General features: G+C 42.1%; 2 protein-coding genes across 4 annotated transcripts in view; both read left to right on the top strand.

Moving 5' to 3' along the window:
* NOTCH2NLR (notch 2 N-terminal like R) overlaps positions 1-2,628 on the top strand; it is a 70,907-nt gene extending 68,279 nt beyond the window's left edge. The window contains exons 4-5 of the mRNA NM_001396072.1: positions 938-1,273; positions 1,524-2,628. Of these exons, the coding sequence (NP_001383001.1) occupies positions 938-1,273; positions 1,524-1,597 (410 nt within the window). The 3' untranslated portion in view covers positions 1,598-2,628. The remainder of the gene's footprint in view (positions 1-937; positions 1,274-1,523) is intronic.
* Positions 1-20,736, top strand: part of NBPF26 (NBPF member 26) — a 118,285-nt gene that overhangs the window by 68,279 nt on the left and 29,270 nt on the right. For all 3 annotated transcript variants that reach the window (NM_001405520.1, NM_001351372.2, NM_001395637.2), the window contains exons 4-10: positions 938-1,273; positions 13,333-13,542; positions 15,384-15,486; positions 16,322-16,536; positions 17,588-17,660; positions 18,124-18,335; positions 19,663-19,872. In NM_001405520.1, the coding sequence (NP_001392449.1) occupies positions 938-1,273; positions 13,333-13,542; positions 15,384-15,486; positions 16,322-16,536; positions 17,588-17,660; positions 18,124-18,335; positions 19,663-19,872 (1,359 nt within the window). The remainder of the gene's footprint in view (positions 1-937; positions 1,274-13,332; positions 13,543-15,383; positions 15,487-16,321; positions 16,537-17,587; positions 17,661-18,123; positions 18,336-19,662; positions 19,873-20,736) is intronic.

Here is a 20,736-nt window from a genome sequence, read left to right on the forward strand (position 1 = left end):
GACTTGTTTCTATCACCAGAGGTCTATTTAGTAACTATATTTTGTGGAAAATATCGATATATTTTATCCATTCAACAGACATGATTTGAGAGCATACCATGGAGACCCAACCCTGCCAGTGTGGCAGGTGGTATAATAGAAGAAAATAGCAAACTTGGTGTATCTGTGTTTGCGCACATGTATGTATGTGAGGGGCACTAAGGATGACTTTACAGAGGTTGGAACTTTTGAGTACAGTTGCCAAGATAGGGAGAGTTCACTAGGAAAACAGAAGGGAAGTTGATTTTTTTTTTTTTGAAATAGAGTCTTGCTGTGTCGCCCAGGCTGGAGTGCAGTGGTACAATCTCGGCTCACTGCAACCTCCGCCTCCTGGGTTCAAGTGATTCTTCTGCCTCAGCCTTCCAAGTAGCTGGGATTACAGGTGCGCGCCACCATGCCCAGCTAATTTTTGTATTTTTAGTAGAGACAGGGTTTCACCATATTGGCCGGGCTGGTCTTGAACTCCTTACCTCATGATCTGCCTGCCTCGGCCTCCCAAAGTGCTGGAATTACAGGTGTGAGCCACTGCTCCTGGCCCAGAAGTTGATATTCAAACAGGAGCAGCATATGCAAAGACAGTGAGCTCTGAGAGAGTAGATGGATCCAGACTCCTATTGCTAATAGCGTCCTGCAGGATTGGGCTTCAATGTGACTAACCTACAATTGCCTCCAGGTGCTCCACCCACTGAGTCCTTGTGTCTCTGCTGAGGTCCTTGGAGAGTTACTGGAGAGGGCTCTGTGTCAGATTACCTTGAGGAGGCTCTGATTTAGCCTTTTGTAAAATGCAAAGAGTTGAGGTCTTCTCCACGCAAGAGCTCGCTGATGTCAATGAGGTATTGAGGATGGGGCCATCTCCTATTTCTGTGGCCAGTACTGAGTTTTGTTATCCTTCCTTTAGGTAAGGAGTGCCAATGGACCGATGCCTGCCTGTCTCATCTCTGTGCAAATGGAAGTACCTGTACCACTGTGGCCAACCAGTTCTCCTGCAAATGCCTCACAGGCTTCACAGGGCAGAAGTGTGAGACTGATGTCAATGAGTGTGACATTCCAGGACACTGCCAGCATGGTGGCACCTGCCTCAACCTGCCTGGTTCCTACCAGTGCCAGTGCCTTCAGGGCTTCACAGGCCAGTACTGTGACAGACTGTATGTGCCCTGTGCACACTCGCCTTGTGTCAATGGAGGCACCTGTCGGCAGACTGGTGACTTCACTTTTGAGTGCAACTGCCTTCCAGGTAAGGAGCTCCCTAGTGTCCCAGGATTAGGGGACAAACCCCTAGCACAGGAGGTAGTGGGTGTGGCTCAATTGCATTTTTTAGGAAGCGCAAGGAAAAAGGGAAGTGAGAATTTTGTGTGGGGTGGGTTGCTAGTGAGGGAGGAGTTTTATGGGCCCACTGTGGTCCATAAACTGAGCAGGGGATAATTTAGCATGTCAGGGTTTATGATGATGAGTGGCTAGAAAATTGTTTATTGTCCCTTTTGTAGAAACAGTGAGAAATAAGAGGAACAGAGCTCTGGGAAAGAGACAGGCAAGTCTGGAATGGAAAAGAACACGATGAGAATTAGACACTGGAAAATATGTATGTGTGGTTAATAAAGTGCTTTAAACTGAATTGACATTAACAGTAGGTGATCAACTTTACTATGTGCTTGTGCTTTTGCTTTTGATGGAGTAATTCATTGTTTTCTTATCCACCTAAATGCACCCAGCTGCCCTTGATTTTCTCTGGGCTACTGGCCTTCACAACCCTCTCCCATGTACCCTCTCTGACTTTGGGGTAACCCTCCCCTAACTTAAAGCTAGAGAATTCTGAAACTGAGGAGGGGATCCTCTGTTAATCAGTGAGCACTTTTTGATGAGCTGATAGATGATATATGAGAGACTATGTGTGGCACAATACTTTGTTACACTCTTCACTGATACAAGTGTTGTAGAGTGCACACACAACCCAAAGATAGAAATAAAAAGAGGAGCAGTGTCGGGGAGCTTGGGGCCTGGTGTTCCATGGAGAGGGAGAAAGGAACAAGCTTGGCCAATTCATTCAACTCCTTATAAAAATGATGAGGAGGCTGAAAACCAAGAATTTTGATTGGGAACAGAATACAAGCAGCTGAAGCAGATGAATTACTAAGCAACAAAGATCCTGTTTTTATACAAATATCCTTAGTACAAAAACAAAAGAAGGAAAACTGTAGGAGGGAGTAATGTGCTAAGTAAGCAGAATTGCCTCAAAAAGAAGTTGTTCTAGTTACTCTTTCAGAGTGGGAATCTTAGATTCTGGTATTGTGGATATGGTTCACATATAATGGGATTGTGTGTTTTATTTTGGAGGGATTAAAGGTCATAGTTTGGTCCTCAGTATAAAATCAACTGGTAATTTATTCATTTCATTTGGTAAAAATGTATTGACTGCCTGCTATGTTCTAGGCACCATGCTATGTATTTGGAATACAGCTATACAAAGCATTGTCACATAATTGAAATGAAAATTTTATATTATTTAAGTCACAAGAACAAGCTATTTAATTATATTACTTTTAGTTTCTCTTTTAATAAAGAATAGATAATGCTATCATTCTAGATACTAAATAAGTATTTTCTTAACATAATATTACTATCCACTTTATCTTGTAGAAGAAGTAACTAAAATACATCTGTCTTCACTCCTGTATTTGTTTGCATTTTAAGGGTTAAAGACAGAAATAGAAATGTAAACAACTTTATTTTGAAAATATTTCAACACTGCAAATATCTCTGGGTCTGATATTCTAGTAATCTAATTGGCTAGTAATTGATGTTAGTGTGATTTATTGTTGAAGGCTAAATGTGTTTTTCAGTTTCAAGAAAATTGCTTTTAATAATTGCCTAGAACAAGAGGTTGATTTGGCAGCAAGATGTTGACGGGAAGTTAGAGAAGTCAATAAAGGAAGTTTTTAGCTGAGAGAGAGTGATTATTCACTCCCATAGCCTCTGCATTGTTATCCATTAGCCACGATAAGAACCTTAGGGAATTCTGAGAGTGTGTCCAGGAAAGGATCTGTCAAACTAGAATAGTATCTCCTCCTTGAGAAAGGAAATAACCAAGGATTCCGCAGCTGAGAGGCTGCCAGGGCTAGTGAAATAGAGTAAGGAAATCTTGGCTGTCTCTTATTCTCTGGTTGTAGTTTAACGCAAGACACTTATTTACTCACTGATGGTGTGTGTGTGTGTGGGAGGGGAGATTAGCATGAGGGGTGGGAATGGGGAGATTTGATGAAGAGAAAACTAACATTTTTTTGGTGACTCAGGAACTGTGCCAGGTACTTCCATGCTTATTAGCTCAATTACACAAAAATCTTGGGACCAGGTATTATTTTTCAAGTCTTCCCACATGAAGTAACTGAAGTTTGGAGATGTTAAGTGATTCACCCAAAGTTGTACAGCTAATATGTGGTTAGGCTGGGTCCTGAAACCGAGGCAGTTTATTTTCAAAGCCTTTGCTTTGTGCATCTTACTGCGCCACATTGCACTGCACATCTGCTTCCTGAAAGCACTTTGTAGGTGTGTAAAACTTTTCGTTAAATGCTTTAAGCTGTTTGGGTTAAAAATATATGTTCATGTTATAAGAAAACCAAGACACTCCTAATTATAATCAAATAGTACTTGTTACATATCAATATGTGTGTGTGTGTGTGTGTGTGTGTGTGTATATGCCGTTGTGCAGATGTTTAAAAGTAGTTACATAGACTAGTTCTTGCTTTTCAGGGTCCCATAATCTAAACCAGATGACTTCAGCTTTGGATAAATATATAGAAGGAAATTTAAAGAGAATTCAAAACAATAGATGATGCAGTGACACTGTGAATAAATGTTATTTATACAGTTTGTAAGATTTCATGCTCATTGTTCGTATGTCCCAGGTGGAGTTCAGAAAATATTCACTTCATTTCCACAAAGGGAAATAGTGCCTAGAGATGGTTTTCTTTTAAAAAGTCCTTTTCATAATGCAGTGCCCTTCCTTCCATTGCCCTTCATTCCATTGCTTCCCATGCTTGTCAAGAGACTAAAATGTTACTTATAGTAATAGTCACTATCTCAATGTAAATAGCACCCTTATTTGATGAGAATTATTATTTCAGTTCTAAAAATGGGGAAGCAAAGTCAGCAGGAGGCAAAGTAGCTTGTTAAAGTATTCTGCAACTTTCAAATGGTTGCTTCCACTGCATTTCACGTCTTGGCACTTCTAATTGAGGGTTACTCTAACCACCCTATTTAAAATTGTAACTGTCCCCCACCCCCTTAATTACTAACCCTGGTCTACTTTTTGTTTTCTTTTTCTGTAACTCTTATCTTCTTACTATATAATTTATACTATATAATTTACTTCATTATGTCTATTGTTTATTGTCTGTCTTTTCCAAATTCTACTGCCTCTTACCCTCTCCAGAATGAAAACTAGTATCTTTGTTTTTGTTTACTGATGTAACCCAAACACCTACAAACAGTGCCCAGTATATACTAGGCCCGCAAATATATATTGGCTGACTGACTGTATGGTTTAGTATCATGTCATAGTATTGAGACTGTAACTTTGGTCTTCTCATTTTCTTCTTTGTATTGTGCGTCCTAGACTTAGTTTGGCCTCTCCTTCTGTCCTTGTATACTCTAATACTGGATAAGAATTTTGGAGTCTTTTTCAACTCTGAGTCAGTGAATGCCACATAACTTAGTGACTATATTTAAATGGTTAATTTACAATTTTTTCCCTGCAAAGGATACTGTAGTCACTGTGAGTATTTTAGTATTATTGTAGGACTCAAGAGGGAATTAAAACTACAAAAATGACTCGTCTTGTATGACACAGAAAGAAATGTTTCTTCACAGAGGGAGGAGAAAAATATCTTCAAGAGAGAACTAATTGAATCAAATCAATGAACCATGTCTCATCTTTTTGGATAAGTAACTGTTAGTAATCCAGACACTTCATGAGCTTTCATTATGTAAAGTCTTTAGCAGAAGCTAAAGGAGGGGCACCAACCACAGTAATTTTAACTTAAGAACAAAATGGAGCATGAAAATAAATTATTAAATCATTTACTCCCACTATTTTTGGGTTAGGGCCAATAATGGGGAGAGAAAGAGGTAGACTAGTTTTGTGTTTGTGGCTATTTTAATAGAGTAGCACAAGTAATCAAAAAACAGTAGGCTGTTTTGAATTTACTGGCTGTCCCTTATGAGTTCACAGTTAGATTGGACTGTCCTCAATGTACTTTCTTTTTTTTCTTTCTTTCCCACATCTCTTTATTTCTCTGATTTTGTTTAAACTTCATAAAGAGCTCTCTGATCTTTCCTTTCCAAACAATGAAGGTTTATCCTTTGTAAACTACCTCTGTACTCCACAGGCTGATGATATATGATATCCCTATATCATTAAAGTAAAGCCTAAGCACATTCTGTGGCTTTTGTGTCTACTCTGTTGTTGCTGAGCTTATGAACTATTAGAAATAATTCCCTCTTGCATTTTCACACATGGGGAATGTGATGTTCTCTTGGGTATTATGCTAATCATATTTTGGCAGGTTTCTCTGAAGCAGATGCAGAAATGATCATACCACTTTCCAGGGTGTATTATTTTAGCTCCTTTGACTTGGGCCCTAAGTCTGTTTTACCTGATGTTCCTGAAAGATGTTCCTGATGTCCCTCACTGTTCTTTCATGCTGGATGTTCTTGCCTATGCTGCCTCCTCAGCTATCACCCTCTCTTCCCCTTTTTAATGTAGAACTCATTCTTAATGATTTGTCAAAGGCACCCTATTTCACTGAAATGCCTTCTATATTCCCTACCCTCCAAGTGGATTGTAGACCTTCTAAGGTCTTTTGACATCTGCATATCTCTAGCACAGCACTTATCACGGTGATTATTTATCTGTTCATCTTTCCAAGTAGACACTCTCATTTTAACTCCCTACCCTAGTCGCCAGCATCCCCAGCATAGTGCCTGTCATAAAATGGTGCCACAATGAAAATTTGAAAAATGAATGAATTGAACGTGATAAACATAGATGAGAATCCTATATTCTACAATTTTTTAAATGTACTGAAATTATTCTTTTTGAATCCTCCTATTTATTTCTGTGACTTCTTTGGTGACAAAGTTAGAAAAAAGTGGAGGTCAGTAGGGAGATATGAAGGGACGCAGGTGGAAGCAGTGAGCCTGGGCGGGTGATGGAGTGGGCGATACGTGGCACAGGGGTCAGTGAGTTAATCTGGGCTCATTCAGAGAATGGAAGGTGTGTGCCAAGAAAACTGGTTGGATAGGGATAGGTCAGGGATTCCCTCTTGCATTCTCACACTTGGGGGCATGCGTCATTTTCTTTTCTTTTCTTTTCTTTTTTTTTTTTTTTTTTGAGACGGAGCATCGCTCTTTCTCCCAGGCTGGAGTGCAATGGCGCTATCTCGGCTCACTGCAACCTCCACCTCCCGGGTTCAAGCTATTCTCATGTCTCAGCCTTCCAAGTAGCTGGGACTACAGGTGCCTGCCACCATGCTCAGCTAATTTTTGTATTTTTAGTAGAGATGGGGTTTCACCATGTTGGTCAGGTTGGCCTCGAACTCCTGATCTCAGGTGATCCACCTGCCTCGGCTTCTCAAAGTGCTGGGATTCCAGGCATGAGCCACCATGCCTGGCCGCATGTGTCATTTTCTTGGGTGTTATACTGATCGTATATTTGCAGGTTTGCTTTTGTGACAGACTTCTTCTGGGGGAAAAAAAGTATCCTTCTATCTTTTTACTTTTGTCCAGTTCCAGGTATCCCTGTTTTTTTCTTCACTCTTCCTTCCTTGTTCATGGGAGTTTTTCTTGAGGACTTCAAGCCCAGCTTCGGAGAATCCTGGTTGTGTCATCTCATCTCCTTTCTGCTCTCTTCTCTACCTAGCCTTTCCACCCTCACACCTCCCGGGGTCTGAAAATGGAAAGATAAGGGTGTTTCCCTGAAAGTTGCTCTTCTGTGTGGGGATGACAGGTTCTAAAGACTCTTTTCTGGTCCCTGCCCTCATTGCCATGATTAATCAGTTAAGTGGCCCGAGGTTTTGTAACAGCACAGTCTTAAAATGCTTCTCCCAAGTTTAATTTCTCTCCATTTGACCTTTTAAGGATGTGAATTGGCTTTAAGCAGTAGACTCCCTTTAGTACGGCACTGTGAGCCTCTCAGTGAATCTGCTACATCCATTCCACCCACGGGTCTGGAAACTTGTCTGTTTACCTTTCCCTAAAAACCTAAGATATATTTTTAAGAAGTGCCTTGTAACTTTTCATATAGCCTTTCCCCTACTTTGGGTAGACTGTTTCTTACAGGAATTTGGTAGATCTTTCCAAAGAGAATTCTGTATCTCTATTTTTAAAGCATAAATCCTGTCAACTTTGGAGGAGAACTGATTTGGCTTGAGTCTTCTCAGACATGGGAACTTTTGACCTAAGTTTGTATTTTACATTGTTGAAAGGGAACTCCGGGATCCCAGAAAACATATGGACTGCAATTGGGTAAAGTTTCTGTTTCAGTACTTATTCCTACTTACTAGCCGTTTAATCTTGGTCAAGTCAGCCATGTGGCTCTCAACTTCCTCATCTGTAACATAAAAGGATTAGAGTAGACAATCTCTAACAAATGCTATAATACCACTGACAAATAATAATATTAGCTAATATGTGTAAGGCACTGTGTTTAGTGCTTTTTCCCTTAATACAATAGCTTTGAGATATAATTTATATACCATACAATTTACTTCTTAAAAAAGTACACAATTCAGTAATTTTAGTAGATAGGAGTAACCATCACCACAGTCAATTCTAGAATATTTTTATACATCAGAAGAAACCCTTTACCCATTATCAATTACTCTCCATTCCTCCTAACTCCCTCCCAGCCCTAGGCAACTACTAGTCTACTTTCTGTCTTTATTTGCCTCTTCTGGACATTTCATACAAATGGAAACATGCAGCATGTAGTAATTTATGACAGCTTCTTTCACTTAGCATGAGGTTTTCAAAGTTCATTGATGTGGTAGCATTTATCAGTACTCTGTGCCTTTTTATGGCTGAATAATATTTTATCATATGGATTTACCACATTTTATCATTTTATTTATCCATCATCAGTTGATTGACATTTGAGTTGCTTCTACTTTTTGAGTATTATCAATAATTCTGTTATGAACATTCTTGTATAATTTTTTGGTAAACATTTATCTTCATATTTCTTGGATATATACCTAGGAGCAGAATTGCTGCCTCAGATGGTAATGCTGTTTAACCTTTTCAGGAACTGTCAGACTGTTCTGAAGTGGGTACATTATTTTACATTCCAACCAGCAGTGTATGAGAATTCCAGTTTCTCCACATCCTCATCAACAGTTGTTATTGTCTGTCTTTTTTATTATATTCATCTGTAATGTGAAGTGTTTATCTCATTGTGGTTTTGATTTACATTTCCCTGATGGTTGATGATTTTCAACATCTTTTCATATACTTATTAGTCATTATGTATCTTCTTTGGAGAATGTCTGTTCAGATCCTTTACCTACTTTATAATTGGTTTATCTTTTTAATATTGAACTGTAATAGTTTTTAAAAAATATATCCTAAATACAAGTCTCTTATCAGATAATATGATTTGCAGATATTTTCTGTCATTCTATGTACTGTCTTTTCACATTCTTGATGATATACTTTTCAGCCCAAATGTTTTTAACTTGATGGAATACAATTTATTTTTTCTTTTGTTGCTTGTGCTTTCAGTCATATTTGTGAAAACTTTGCTTATCCCACATTACAAAGATTTACTATTTCTAAGTGATTTATAATTTTACCACCTACCTTTAGGTCTCTGATCCATTTTGAGTTAATTTTTATGTGCGAGGAGGGAGTCTAACTTGATTCTTTTACATGTGGATATTTAGTTGTCCCAGGACCATTTGTTGAATTAAGTGCCCAGAACAAGTACATCTATATATAGAGAAAGTAGATTAGTGGTTGTCAGAGACTGCAAGAAGTGGGGAATTGGAGAGTGACTGCCCATAGGTACAGGCATGCTTTTTGGCATTATGAAAATATACTGGAATTAGGTAGTGGTGATGGTTGCAGAACTTTTGGAATATGGTAAAAGACACTGAAATATATGCTTAAAAATGGTGATTTTTGTGATATATGAATTATACTATAGAACTAATAATAACAGTAATAAAGCAAGGTGTCTTTCCACATCTCCATGCCTTGTATTTTCATTAAAAAAAAAAAAAAAAAGCATTTCAGGGCCAGGCTCAGTGGTTTACTCCTGTAATCCCAGCACTTTTGGAGGCCTAGGTGGGAGGATCGCTTGAGGCCAGAAGTTCAAAACCAGCCTGAGCAACATAGCAAGACCTTGTCTCCATGAAAAATAAAAAACTAGCCAGAAATGGTGATGTGTGCCTAGAGTTCCAACTACTTGGAAAGCTGAGGCAGGAGGATCGCTTGAGCCTAGGAGTTCAAGGTTGCAGTGATCTATAATCACCACTGCACTCCAGCCTGGGTGACAGAACAAGACCCTGTCTCAAAAAAAAAAAAAAAAAAAAAAAAAGGCATCTCACTTTAATAGTAAGAGGCCAGAATATGATGCTGGTAGCATGTTGTGAGGAAATGTATTAGATGAAAGAAGTTAAATTCCAGTTCTCCTTTTTTCAGAAATGAGGTATAGGGGAGAGAAACACGTACTTGGAAAGAATTGACCCAGCTGAATTGGAAAATGTGGGAAGGGGATGGGGAAGAGGCTGCTCCACCTGAGATCTGGCTCCAGGACTTACAGCAAGGGGAACTTGGGCAAGTTACAGACTGTCTATGCCTCAGTTTCTTTATCAGCAAAACAGAATCATCCCATAAACTATAAGGTCGATGGTATCAGCGGGTCCCCAAACTGACTGCACATCTGAGTCATGTTAACAAACACATTCCAGGCCCCACCTGAGCCCTCTGAATGAGAATCCCTGTAAGGAGGACGATGAACTTGAATTTGCACTGACTTTCCCAGCTGTTTCTTACTCTGATCAACTTGGGGGTAGGACCCATTGAGCTGCATCACATCATTCCAAAGCCAAAACACAACAGCAGGACAAGAAGATTTTCAAGGCAGTCTCTAAAGCAGAGGAGAAACTGTTGAGTGAACCTAGAAGTAAAGGAGATCTGGCTTGCTGGACTCCATTTGAACTTTGAGTACAACAGAGACATGAGCCCTTCGGGACACATGCCTGAGGTAGTGACAGTCCAACTTTGGAAGAGTGGAAGCCCTAGTTTCAAATTCAAGCATGCTTTGAATATAAATTAAGTTTACCTCTTTTTGCACAGCAACATGGCCAATCTTTCCTAAGCTGCTCAGCTTACAAGAAAAGGAATCATACTGCTAAGAATTCAAACTTCAGCAGTCATAGGTAAGTAAGGAAGTCTTATAAACCTATTCTAGCCACCTAACTAGAAACTCGAAATTTAACAGGTTCTTTCAGTTTCAGGACAGTTGTGTTCACTAGATCAGAGGCATTGAGACATGAAGAACAGACCCTTAAAAAGGGAAAGTGTTCCCTTCAGTTTGAGGACATCACTGGAACATTAGGGAAGTGGGAACACAGCTGCTCACTCTACAGTGTGGGTTGCCTTTGTGTCTGGAATGTGTCTGACGTCCTGATCCCTGTGCACATTTCAGGGAGCCTTGGGAGGACCCCGAATCACTGATGGAATTGGGCAGTGCATGGAGATGGCTCAGCAGGATGAGGGTAAATGCAGGGGCAAGTCCAGGTCATACTGAGAGACAATGAGTGGCGCTGATGAGGACAAAGATAAAATCAAAAGTTTGTGCTTCATCTTCAAAAACTCAAGCTGATAACAAACTTGGCCTGATGAGAAATAATAAGTATTTTTCTATTTACATGAGAATTTAATCTCAAAACAGAAATCAGAAAAATATGAAGTCCAGGGCATAAAACCTAAAACTATTGCTCATATTTATTCTTTCTAAATAGAGCAAAGTGTAAAATCTTCTCCATAAGACATACATTGTGGTTATAAAAAGGCAAAAGTCTTAGTGAGAATCATTGGTATTCCATAGAAGAGTGAATTAAACACAGCCAAGGGAAGACCCATGTCTCATACTTCTCTTGTATATTCCAAAGTTCCAGGGAAATTCCAGGTGATAGAGGTTATTTCCCATACTGTTAAAGCAAGGTTTCAGACACTTCTGAATTTTGGTCCCAGTACTCTAGAAGGGCACACCTCTGTCCTGGAAAATAATACAGGAATGAATACTCTTCCCGTGACCCATTCTGGTCATTCTTCCAGCATCACAAAAACCAAAAAATGGAAATATGGCCAAATACGTGATTAGCTGTCCCTCATCTTCAGGTTTCTTATCTGTTACTTGTAGATAATAGCATTACCTTAAGGATTATGATGAAGATACAATGTCCAAATATAAACACAGTTTTGAGCAAAATGCCTTGTACGAATTGGTCAATGAATAATTACTAAATATGTGAATATTTACTGGATTGTATGGATCCTATGAATAATTACTGAATAATTATTGTGATTGCTTTTATTGGCAGTGCTGAAAACTCATCCCTTTGTGACCTCAAGTAACCCATGACACTTTGTGAACCTGCAGTTTTTTCATTTAGAAACTTGACAGATTTTCATTCTGACACAGAATGTCAGGTCTCCCAGACCCTAGAAAATACATTGACTTAAAGCCTTTGATACATCTCAAAGCAGTATCCTTACAGTGTCACTGGAAGATGGTGCGGGCTGCAGAGAGGGATGCTTTCAAATGGGATTAACCAGTCCTCCTTCCTTCACTTCCACATGAATGCTGGGCAGCCCAGGGTCAACCCACTGCACCCTCAACTCAGGCAAGTCCAGCAGCCAATCTTAGGAGACCTGGGCTACAGAACAGTCTCTCAAGTTCCAGGCTCACAAAACGTAGGTGGGGATGAAAGCTGAGAAAGCGAAGAGGTGGTTCAGAGGATCACTGTTTCCTACTTGTTCCTCTCACCTCAAACTCACCTTCTACTGCACAGCAACACTGAGGATCGCCAACCAACCCTGACCATAACCTTGATCTTGCCATGTTCTGTTAGTGGAATGCAACCCAAAATCAATGGTGTTAGGTCATCTCAACAAAATATATATCAAACCATATTCCATAAGAACTGCTCGTGGCCCTGTTCTTTTCAGTATATGGGAAAACAAAATGGAAACAACAAAATAGTATCAGGTTTACAAAACTTCCCAAGATAGATGGTCACACATGTTTTCAGGAGACCTCTATATAAATGATTTGATCACTTGATACCTTGAAAAGAGGTCTTGTGGCACTAGAATGACATCTATAAGTGACAAGTTTAAAATGTAGTGCTCAGTGACATTAAAAAACACATCAACCCACATAGAGGAAGAGCTTTGGACGTAGGGATGTCAAACTGGTCTAGAATGTAATGAAAACCCAAGAAGGTGCCCCAGTAAGAAAGAAGAAATCAATCTAACAATGGGATGCAGCAGCAAGAATACTGAGACAGGAAAGAAAATATTTTTAAAAAATGAATTATTCATTCACTTTCTAGTGGATACAGAAAAAACTGCAGAAGACCCGGAGGATATCAGGGCAGGCTAAAAGTTTGATATCTTACACCTGTGGAAAAGCCTTAAGCTCTGTTTTAACTGAGAGCAGGTGGGGTGACTTCATGACTACCATTAAGAAAATATAACCTGTTGGGAAACTGTTTCTGCCTTGATGATGTTGTACAGACAAGAGATAAACAGTGAGGAATATGCTTAGATGTATTGGGAAAGACACGGGTCTGTGGCATTGTCAACAAGGGTACACGAATACTGAGAGTGAATGCTGAAGGAATGATCCCCATTGGTGGTGACCCTCAGGTGAGACTAGGGTGCCTGTGTTTCAGCAAAGCCTGGGCAATTGGAATGCAGGGCTCCTAAGTTTCCATGACACCCCCACCTTCTAATTCTGTTATTGCAACTGCAGACGGTTACCTGGCACGCTGGCCACATTCTGCCTCACTCTTATCAGAGTCTGAGCTACTGGCAGTGCTTTCAGCTCTGAGTTGAGGCACCTCGAACCTTGTTTTTGTGGTGAAGGATCCTAAAGTGCTGTGGGGAGTGATCACATTTTTCACAACAGTAAGGTAAGAATTTCAGTTACTGACATCCCTCAGTCCTGATTAAACCGATTTGATTTCACCAGTTTTTAACCCATCATATGTTTGGGTTTCTTCTCCCCAGTCCCTGACTCCACCTCTTCTGCCACAAACGTCAGCATGGTGGTATCAGCCGGCCATTGGTCCAGTGAGAAGGCAGAGATGAACATTCTAGAAATCAACGAGACATTGCGCCCCCAGCTGCCAGAGAACAAACAGCAGTTGAGAAACCTCAAAGAGAAATGTTTTCTAACTCAACTGGCCGGCTTCCTGGCCAACCGACAGAAGAAATACAGTAAGATCTATAGGCTCACCATCATGAAAGTGATGAATGATATCCTGTCTTCTCTCTGAGACACTAAATGCTCTCTCCATCAAAAAGAATTTCATCCTTCCTGTACTTCTAGGAAAACAGAAATGGGTATTTTAACATTTTGTTAAAGTTGGAAGACAGAGGTACCAAAATATTTAGCAACTTTCCATGTTTGCAATCAGATGGGGGTGGAACTAGAGTTAAACTCACAGTTATTGATTTCTAACACAGGCACAGAATGACCTGTTTTCTCCAAGGGGCTCAATCATGTTTTTAAGAATCCTCTCTGTACCATATAAGATCCTGCAGACAAATAACATCTAGTCTGTTGTTCTAAATGTCTAGGACTAGTGAACTTTTATTCAGTTCAAGTTTCTGTTGAGGCCCAACAGGCAAAGCTCTGTTCTAGTGACTCTGAGGGGAACTTGGTGATAGTACCCAGTACCTGTTCTGAGGGGCTTCAAGGGGAGTCTGCTCCTAATAGAACCTGTGCTATCTATAAGTGACAGCATCAAGAGCAGGGAGTAGGGGCCGTGCAACGTGGCTCACTCCTATAATCTCAGCACTTTGGGAGGCTGAGGCGGGCAGAGCACGAGGTCAGCAGTTTGAGACTAGCCTGGGCAACATGGAGAAACCCCATCTCCACTAAAAATACAAAAAGTAGATGGGCATCGTGGCGGGCAACTGTAATCACCACTAATCGGGAGGCTGAGGCAGAAGAATCCTTTGAACCCAGCAGGCAGATGTTGCAGTGAGCCAAGATTGCACTATTGAACTCCAGCATGGGTGACAGGGCAAGACTCGTCAAAAAACAAACAAACAAAACGATAAATAAATCAAAAATAAAAATAAAAAGCAGAGAGTACCTTGGTGAGAGTGAAGTCCTGCTTCCTGGTGCACAGGCTCTTGTTCCTAAAGAGGAAGAAAGATCACACCCGAGAATGTGTGGAAGCAGCAGTGCAGTGTGCAAAGCAGGGACCCTCAGCCTGTCTCCTGGGCTCCATCCAAGTTGCTTGTCTTGTCTGTCCCTCAGTTTCCTCATCTGTTCAGAGGGTACTACAATAATACCTACCTCTGTAAATTGCTGCAATGAATTACATGAGGTATTTCCTGTCAATCTCCTTGAACATTAATTGGCACAGTGTAAACACTATCTATTCTTCATTCTGATGTTTCTAAATTAACACTAACTAAGCTTATGCTGTTTCTAAATTAACACAACTAATCTAAATCTTAATGCTGCCTCTCATACTAATAAAGTATTTGGGCATATTTCCTTCATGGCCTTATTGTCTTATGTCTCACACTTTATGCTTCAGATATGATTCTTAAAACCATATCTGAATATTGATTTAAAAATGAAATATTTTTAAAGTCCTTGACATATTTGTCCTTGAAATACCCAGTAAAAGGGAAACCATCAGTCCCATAGTCCTAGGGGCCTTCCCGACTGTACAAGAAATCACTACTTCATGCCCCAGTGCAGTGTTTTAGAGGAGAGGCTGCAAGGCTTGGGAAAGTGGCCCCGCATTCAGAGTCAGACCTCAGGGACTGTGAGTTCTGACTCCACTTCGTTGTGGTTGAATCATCTTGTCAACTTCCTTGATGCGCCCTTGAGTTTCTCTTTCTTCGTCTTTAAATTTTGGAGGATCAGATGCCAGAAAGTCAGGAGACTGAAGAGTAAAGATGTGGAAATCCCTGTCTAGACCCTGGTACTGGGGAGAGTTTTGTCCTTGGGATGGACCTGGCTCCTGCCCTGTAGGCAATGACCACAGCAGCATGTCCAGCCTTCCACTGAGGCAGGTGTGTCTGTCTTTTCTCAGAGTATGAAGAGTGTAAAGACCTCATAAAATTTATGCTGAGGAATGAGCGACAGTTCAAGGAGGAGAAGCTTGCAGAGCAGCTCAAGCAAGCTGAGGAGCTCAGGTGAGGGGACCCCATGGGGGCAGGCAGGGGGGCAGGTGTGTAAATCTCTGAAGTACAGCAGCTCGGTGGGGAGACGTAAGAGCTAAGCTGGGCCAGGGGAAGGGCAGGAATTGCCATGGCAGGCTCGCTACACACAAATATTTATCAAACAGAGAAGGAGGATAGTAAAAATGTATGGGTTGCAGTTGTTTCTCAGAGCCTTGTTTTCTCTTTTTCAAACAAGTAATTGTTGATGTGAAATTTACATAACACAAAATTTACCAAAGGAGTGGGAACCACCCAGCAGCATTCAGTATAATCAAAATGGTGTGCCATCACCACCCCACTTACCCTTAGTGAGAATCACCTCCTGACTGACTGCGGCTTCTCATTCTTTCACTCAATCAATGTTGCCTTCTCGACCCTGTCATTCTTTTCTTCTTTCATCTTTTCAATTCGCCCCATCTGCACCTGGCCTCATTTCTGTACATGGCTTTGTATCTAGTGGCCGCAAGATGCACTATGTGTATTTTCACATGGAAATGTCCATGGCCAGAGTGAGGAACTGAAAGGATGTCTTTTTGAAACGGAATTAGGAAGACACCTACTTTTGTTTACAGAAGAGAAAGATGAATGGAACATCATCGAGGATCTTGCAGGAGCCCTCTCTGATACAGAGGAAGCCTGTAAACCATTTTCTATTCTTTCTCTTGGCCACAGACATTCCTTTCAACGTGTGCTGACCTTCTGTTTCAAGGTCTCCTTGAGGACATTGTCTCAGAAGTCTCTGTTGCAATATTTGAACGGATCACTCAACCCTTTCTACTCTTAAATTTTCTCTACCGTCTCACCTTAGGCAATATAAAGTCCTGGTTCACTCTCAGGAACGAGAGCTGACGCAGTTAAAGGAGAAGTTACGGGAAGGGAGAGATGCCTCCCGCTCATTGAATGAGCATCTCCAGGCCCTCCTCACTCCGGATGAGCCGGACAAGTCCCAGGGGCAGGACCTCCAAGAACAGCTGGCTGAGGGGTGTAGACTGGCACAGCACCTTGTCCAAAAGCTCAGCCCAGGTAAGGTGGCCATAGGCCCTGATGACCCAAAACCCCAGGCTTATGAGAGGCTCCAGACCTCCATACTTTCACAATGACAGTTGTATCAGTGGGGTTTTTTTCTACTACACCTATGTGGCCATGACATGATCAGGACTTCCTGGGTAAGCACAGAGATGGGAAACCCATGGGTTTGGAGGTCACAGTATTGCAAGTGTCCCTCCTTCCTTGATGGAAGGTGGTCTTTGGAGCAAGAGGCAGCATCTATCTAGTTTTAAAGGACAGGAAGGAGGCTGTGATGGGAGGGCGCTTGTTGGAGTGAAAAGAGCTCTGGGCTAAGAATGAAGGTTCCCAGGCTGTCTTTTTGGCAATGTTCTTAGTAAGTGTCAGTGAGTGAGTGATTTATCTTTCCAGAGTTTCTCTCTCTCCATCTGCAAAGGCAGACAAATTGTCTCTTGCAAGGGTCTGAAGCATCCAAATATGGGAACACTTACGAATGCTTTTCAAAATGAGATGAAGCCCCTCTCCATGTGGTGTTGGAGAAGGCACTTGATGTGGGGTCATTTGGTGGTAGGAAGTGCTTCAGACTGGAGCACTCCCCATGGATAGAATGTCCCTGAATAACACAGCAGAAGCCACATGGAGGGCCTGTGCAGTCTCATGACGCATAGAGGACTGTGGGACAAGTTTGTCCTCTCCTAAGAGAAAGAATGAGGTTTGAAATGCGAACTGTGACAGGACACCAAGCCTGTTCCTGGGAATCAGATCTGTGGCAGGATGGGGGAGACAGCTGCCAAAGTCCAGAGAGAGGCTGCACAAGCCTCCAGTGATATGGGAAGCAAAAGGTCTTTTCAGTATTTGGCCACATCTTGATGGTGGCCCTCCACATCAGAAATGCATTGCCCGATGGAGCAGGAAACCATGCCAGGGCATTTTGTGAAAGATAAAACATGAGAGTTTTCAGTACAATGCTGAACCATACATAGATGTTCATGTCTCTGTGCACGTTGGGCTGACTGTGCTTGCAGAATGTGAAGTGGGAAATATCTGAACGAACATTTTGTATTTATAGAAAATGACGAAGATGAGGATGAAGATGTTCAAGTTGAGGAGGATGAGAAAGTACTGGAATCATCTGCCCCCAGGTAACACTGAATACTCAGGAGCAAGTAATGGGTGGTAACATATGAAAATGTCTAGGAGGCACACCCTCTCTGGCATCTATGGTGGGCCAAAAGCCCACATCCCCTTGGCCACAGTATGTGAAATTCAACCCAGCTTAGACACAGGGTGCGGCAGCTGTCGTGTTTCTCTATGTGTGCCAAGTGTCATGTCTGTACCATACAGGGATAGCTGAGTCTTCATCCTCCTCAGCTCCTATCTGTCCAGTGCACTGAACACCAGCTGCTCTCTTCCTCTCTGGCTCCCATGGCAGCCATGCTCTGTTGCAGAGAGAAGCGGATTGCCTGTTTCCTCTTTAAGGGAACCTCCGTTTTGCTTTCTGGAACCACTCTCTTAATGCCGCCTGTCAAAACCAGCTAGGACTCCATGGGGTCCAATCCCTCTGTGTTTAATCTTCTGTCATCTCTGTCCCACCTGGCTCATCAGGGAGGTGCAGAAGACTGAAGAGAGCAAAGTCCCTGAGGACTCACTGGAGGAATGTGCCATCACTTGTTCAAATAGCCACGGCCCTTGTGACTCCAACCAGCCTCACAAGAACATCAAAATCACATTTGAGGAAGACGAAGTCAACTCAACTCTGGTTGTAGACAGAGAATCCTCTCATGATGAATGTCAGGATGCTCTAAACATTCTCCCAGGTAGCCTCTATTTTCCTTGTGTCTCATACCTCTGTCTAGGCTATGGAAGGTCAATTCTGAGGACAGGCTGTATATACACATATTGTTATTGTTTTAGTCAGAAACTGGGATGGAGCTAGGTGCTGTGACTCACACATATAATCACAGCACTTTGGAAGGCCCAAGTGGGACGATGACTTGAGTTCAGGAGTTGAAGACCAGCCTACACAATATGGTGAAACCCATCTTTACAAAGAATACAAAAAATTAGGCAGGCATGGTGCTGCATGCCTATAGTCCCAACTGCTCAGGAGACTTAGGTGGGAGGATGGGCTGAGATGATCCTCCCACTCTAATTCACTTCTGTCAGGCTAGACTCTCTCTCCTTTTCATTGGCTTGTCTTAGCTATTAATAAGTCTCGGCTGGGCGCAGTGGGTCACACCTGTAATCCGAGCACTTTGGGAGGCCGAGGCGGGTGGATCATGAGGTCAGGAGATTGAGACCATCCTGGCTAACACGGTGAAACCCCGTCTTTACTAAAAATACAAAAAAAAAAAAAATTAGCTGGGTGTGGTGGTGGGTGCCTGTAGTCCCAGCTACTCAGGAGGCTGAGGCAGGAGAATGGCATGAACCCAGGAACCGGAGCTTGCAGTGAGCCAAGATTGTGCCACTGCACTCCAGCCTGGGAGACAGAGCGAGACTCCATCTCAAAAAAAAAAAGTCTCTGACCAGGGGCGCTGGCTCACATCTTAATCCCAACACTTTGGGAGGCCGAGGTGGGCGGAACACCTGAGCTCAGGAGTTCAAAACCAGCCTGTCCAAGATGGCGAAACCCCATCTCTACTAAAAATACAAAAATTAGCTGGCATGTTACTTGGCGCTTGTAATCCCAGATGCTTGGCAGGCTGAGGGATGAGAATCACTTGAACCCGGGCGGCAGAGGTGGCAGTGAGCTGAGATTGTGCCTCTGCACTGCAGCCTGCGCGACAGAGTGAGACTCCGTCTCAAACAAAAAAACCAAAAAAGAAAATTAAGCAAAACGAAATCTTTTGTGCTACACAGAAACATTGGCCACTCATGGGGTAAAAATCTCAGGGCCAAGCCTTGCTTTATAGAAACGTATAAGCAAGAAAAGTGTAGAAGTGTTTATGTCTTGGTTTCAAGGTGACTGCATAGCTAAGACAAGTTGACTTAAAGGAGATCAAGACTGGAGATGACAAGAGTGAAACCAGGGAAACATCTTCAAATAAGTAAACAAGGCTACCAGTGACATCCCTCAGTCCTGATTAAGCCTATTTGATTTCACCAGTTTTTAACCCATCATGTGTTTGCCTTTCTTCTCCCCAGTCCCTGGCCCCACCTCTTCTGCCACAAACGTCAGCATGGTGGTATCAGCCGGCCCTTTGTCCGGCGAGAAGGCAGCGATAAACATTCTAGAAATCAATGAGAAATTGCGCCCCCAGCTGGCAGAGAAGAAACAGCAGTTCAGAAACCTCAAAGAGAAATGTTTTCTAACTCAACTGGCCGGCTTCCTGGCCAACCAGCAGAACAAATACAGTAAGATCTATTGGCTCACCATCACGAAAGTGATGAACGAGGTCCTGTCTTCTCTCTGAGACACTAAATGCTCTCTCCATCAAAAATAATGTCATCCTCCCCGTACTTCTAGGAAAACAGAAATGGGTATTTTAACATTTTGTCAAAGTTGGAAGACAGAGGTACCAAAGTATTTAGCAACTTTCCATGTTTGCAATCAGGTGGGGGTGGGACTAGAGTTAAACTGCCATTTATTGATTTCTGACACAGGCACAGAATGACCTGTTTTCTCCAAGAGGCTCAATCGTGTTTTCAAGAATCCTCTCTGTACCATATAAGATCCTGCAGACAAATAACATCTAGTCTGTTGTTCTAAATGTCTGAGACTAGTGAACTTTTATTCAGTTCAAGTTTCTGTTGAGGCCCAACAGGCAAAGCTCTGTTCTAGTGACTCTGAGGGAAACTTGGTGATAGTAGCCAGTACCTGCTCTGAGGGGCTTCAAGAGGAGTCTACCCCTAATAGAACCTGTGCTGTCTATAAATGACAGCATCAAGAGCAGGGAGTAGGGGCCGTGCATGGTGGCTCACTCCTGTAATCCCAGCACTTTGGGAGGCTGAGGCGGGCAGATCATGAGGTCAGGAGTTTGAGACCAGCCTGGGCAACATGGAGAAACCCCATCTCCACTAAAAATACAAAAAGTAGATGGGCGTGGTGGCAGGTGACTGTAATCACCCCTGCTCAGGAGGCTGAGGCAGGAGAATCCTTTGAACCCAGGAGGCTGAGGTTGCAGTGAGCCAAGATTTTGCCATTGCACTCCAGCCTGGGCGACAGGGCAAGACTGCTAAAAATAATAATAATAATAATAATAATAATAATAATAATAA

The sequence above is a fragment of the Homo sapiens genome, chromosome 1 (assembly GCF_000001405.40).
Source record: "Homo sapiens chromosome 1, GRCh38.p14 Primary Assembly".
Lineage (NCBI taxonomy): Eukaryota > Metazoa > Chordata > Mammalia > Primates > Hominidae > Homo > Homo sapiens.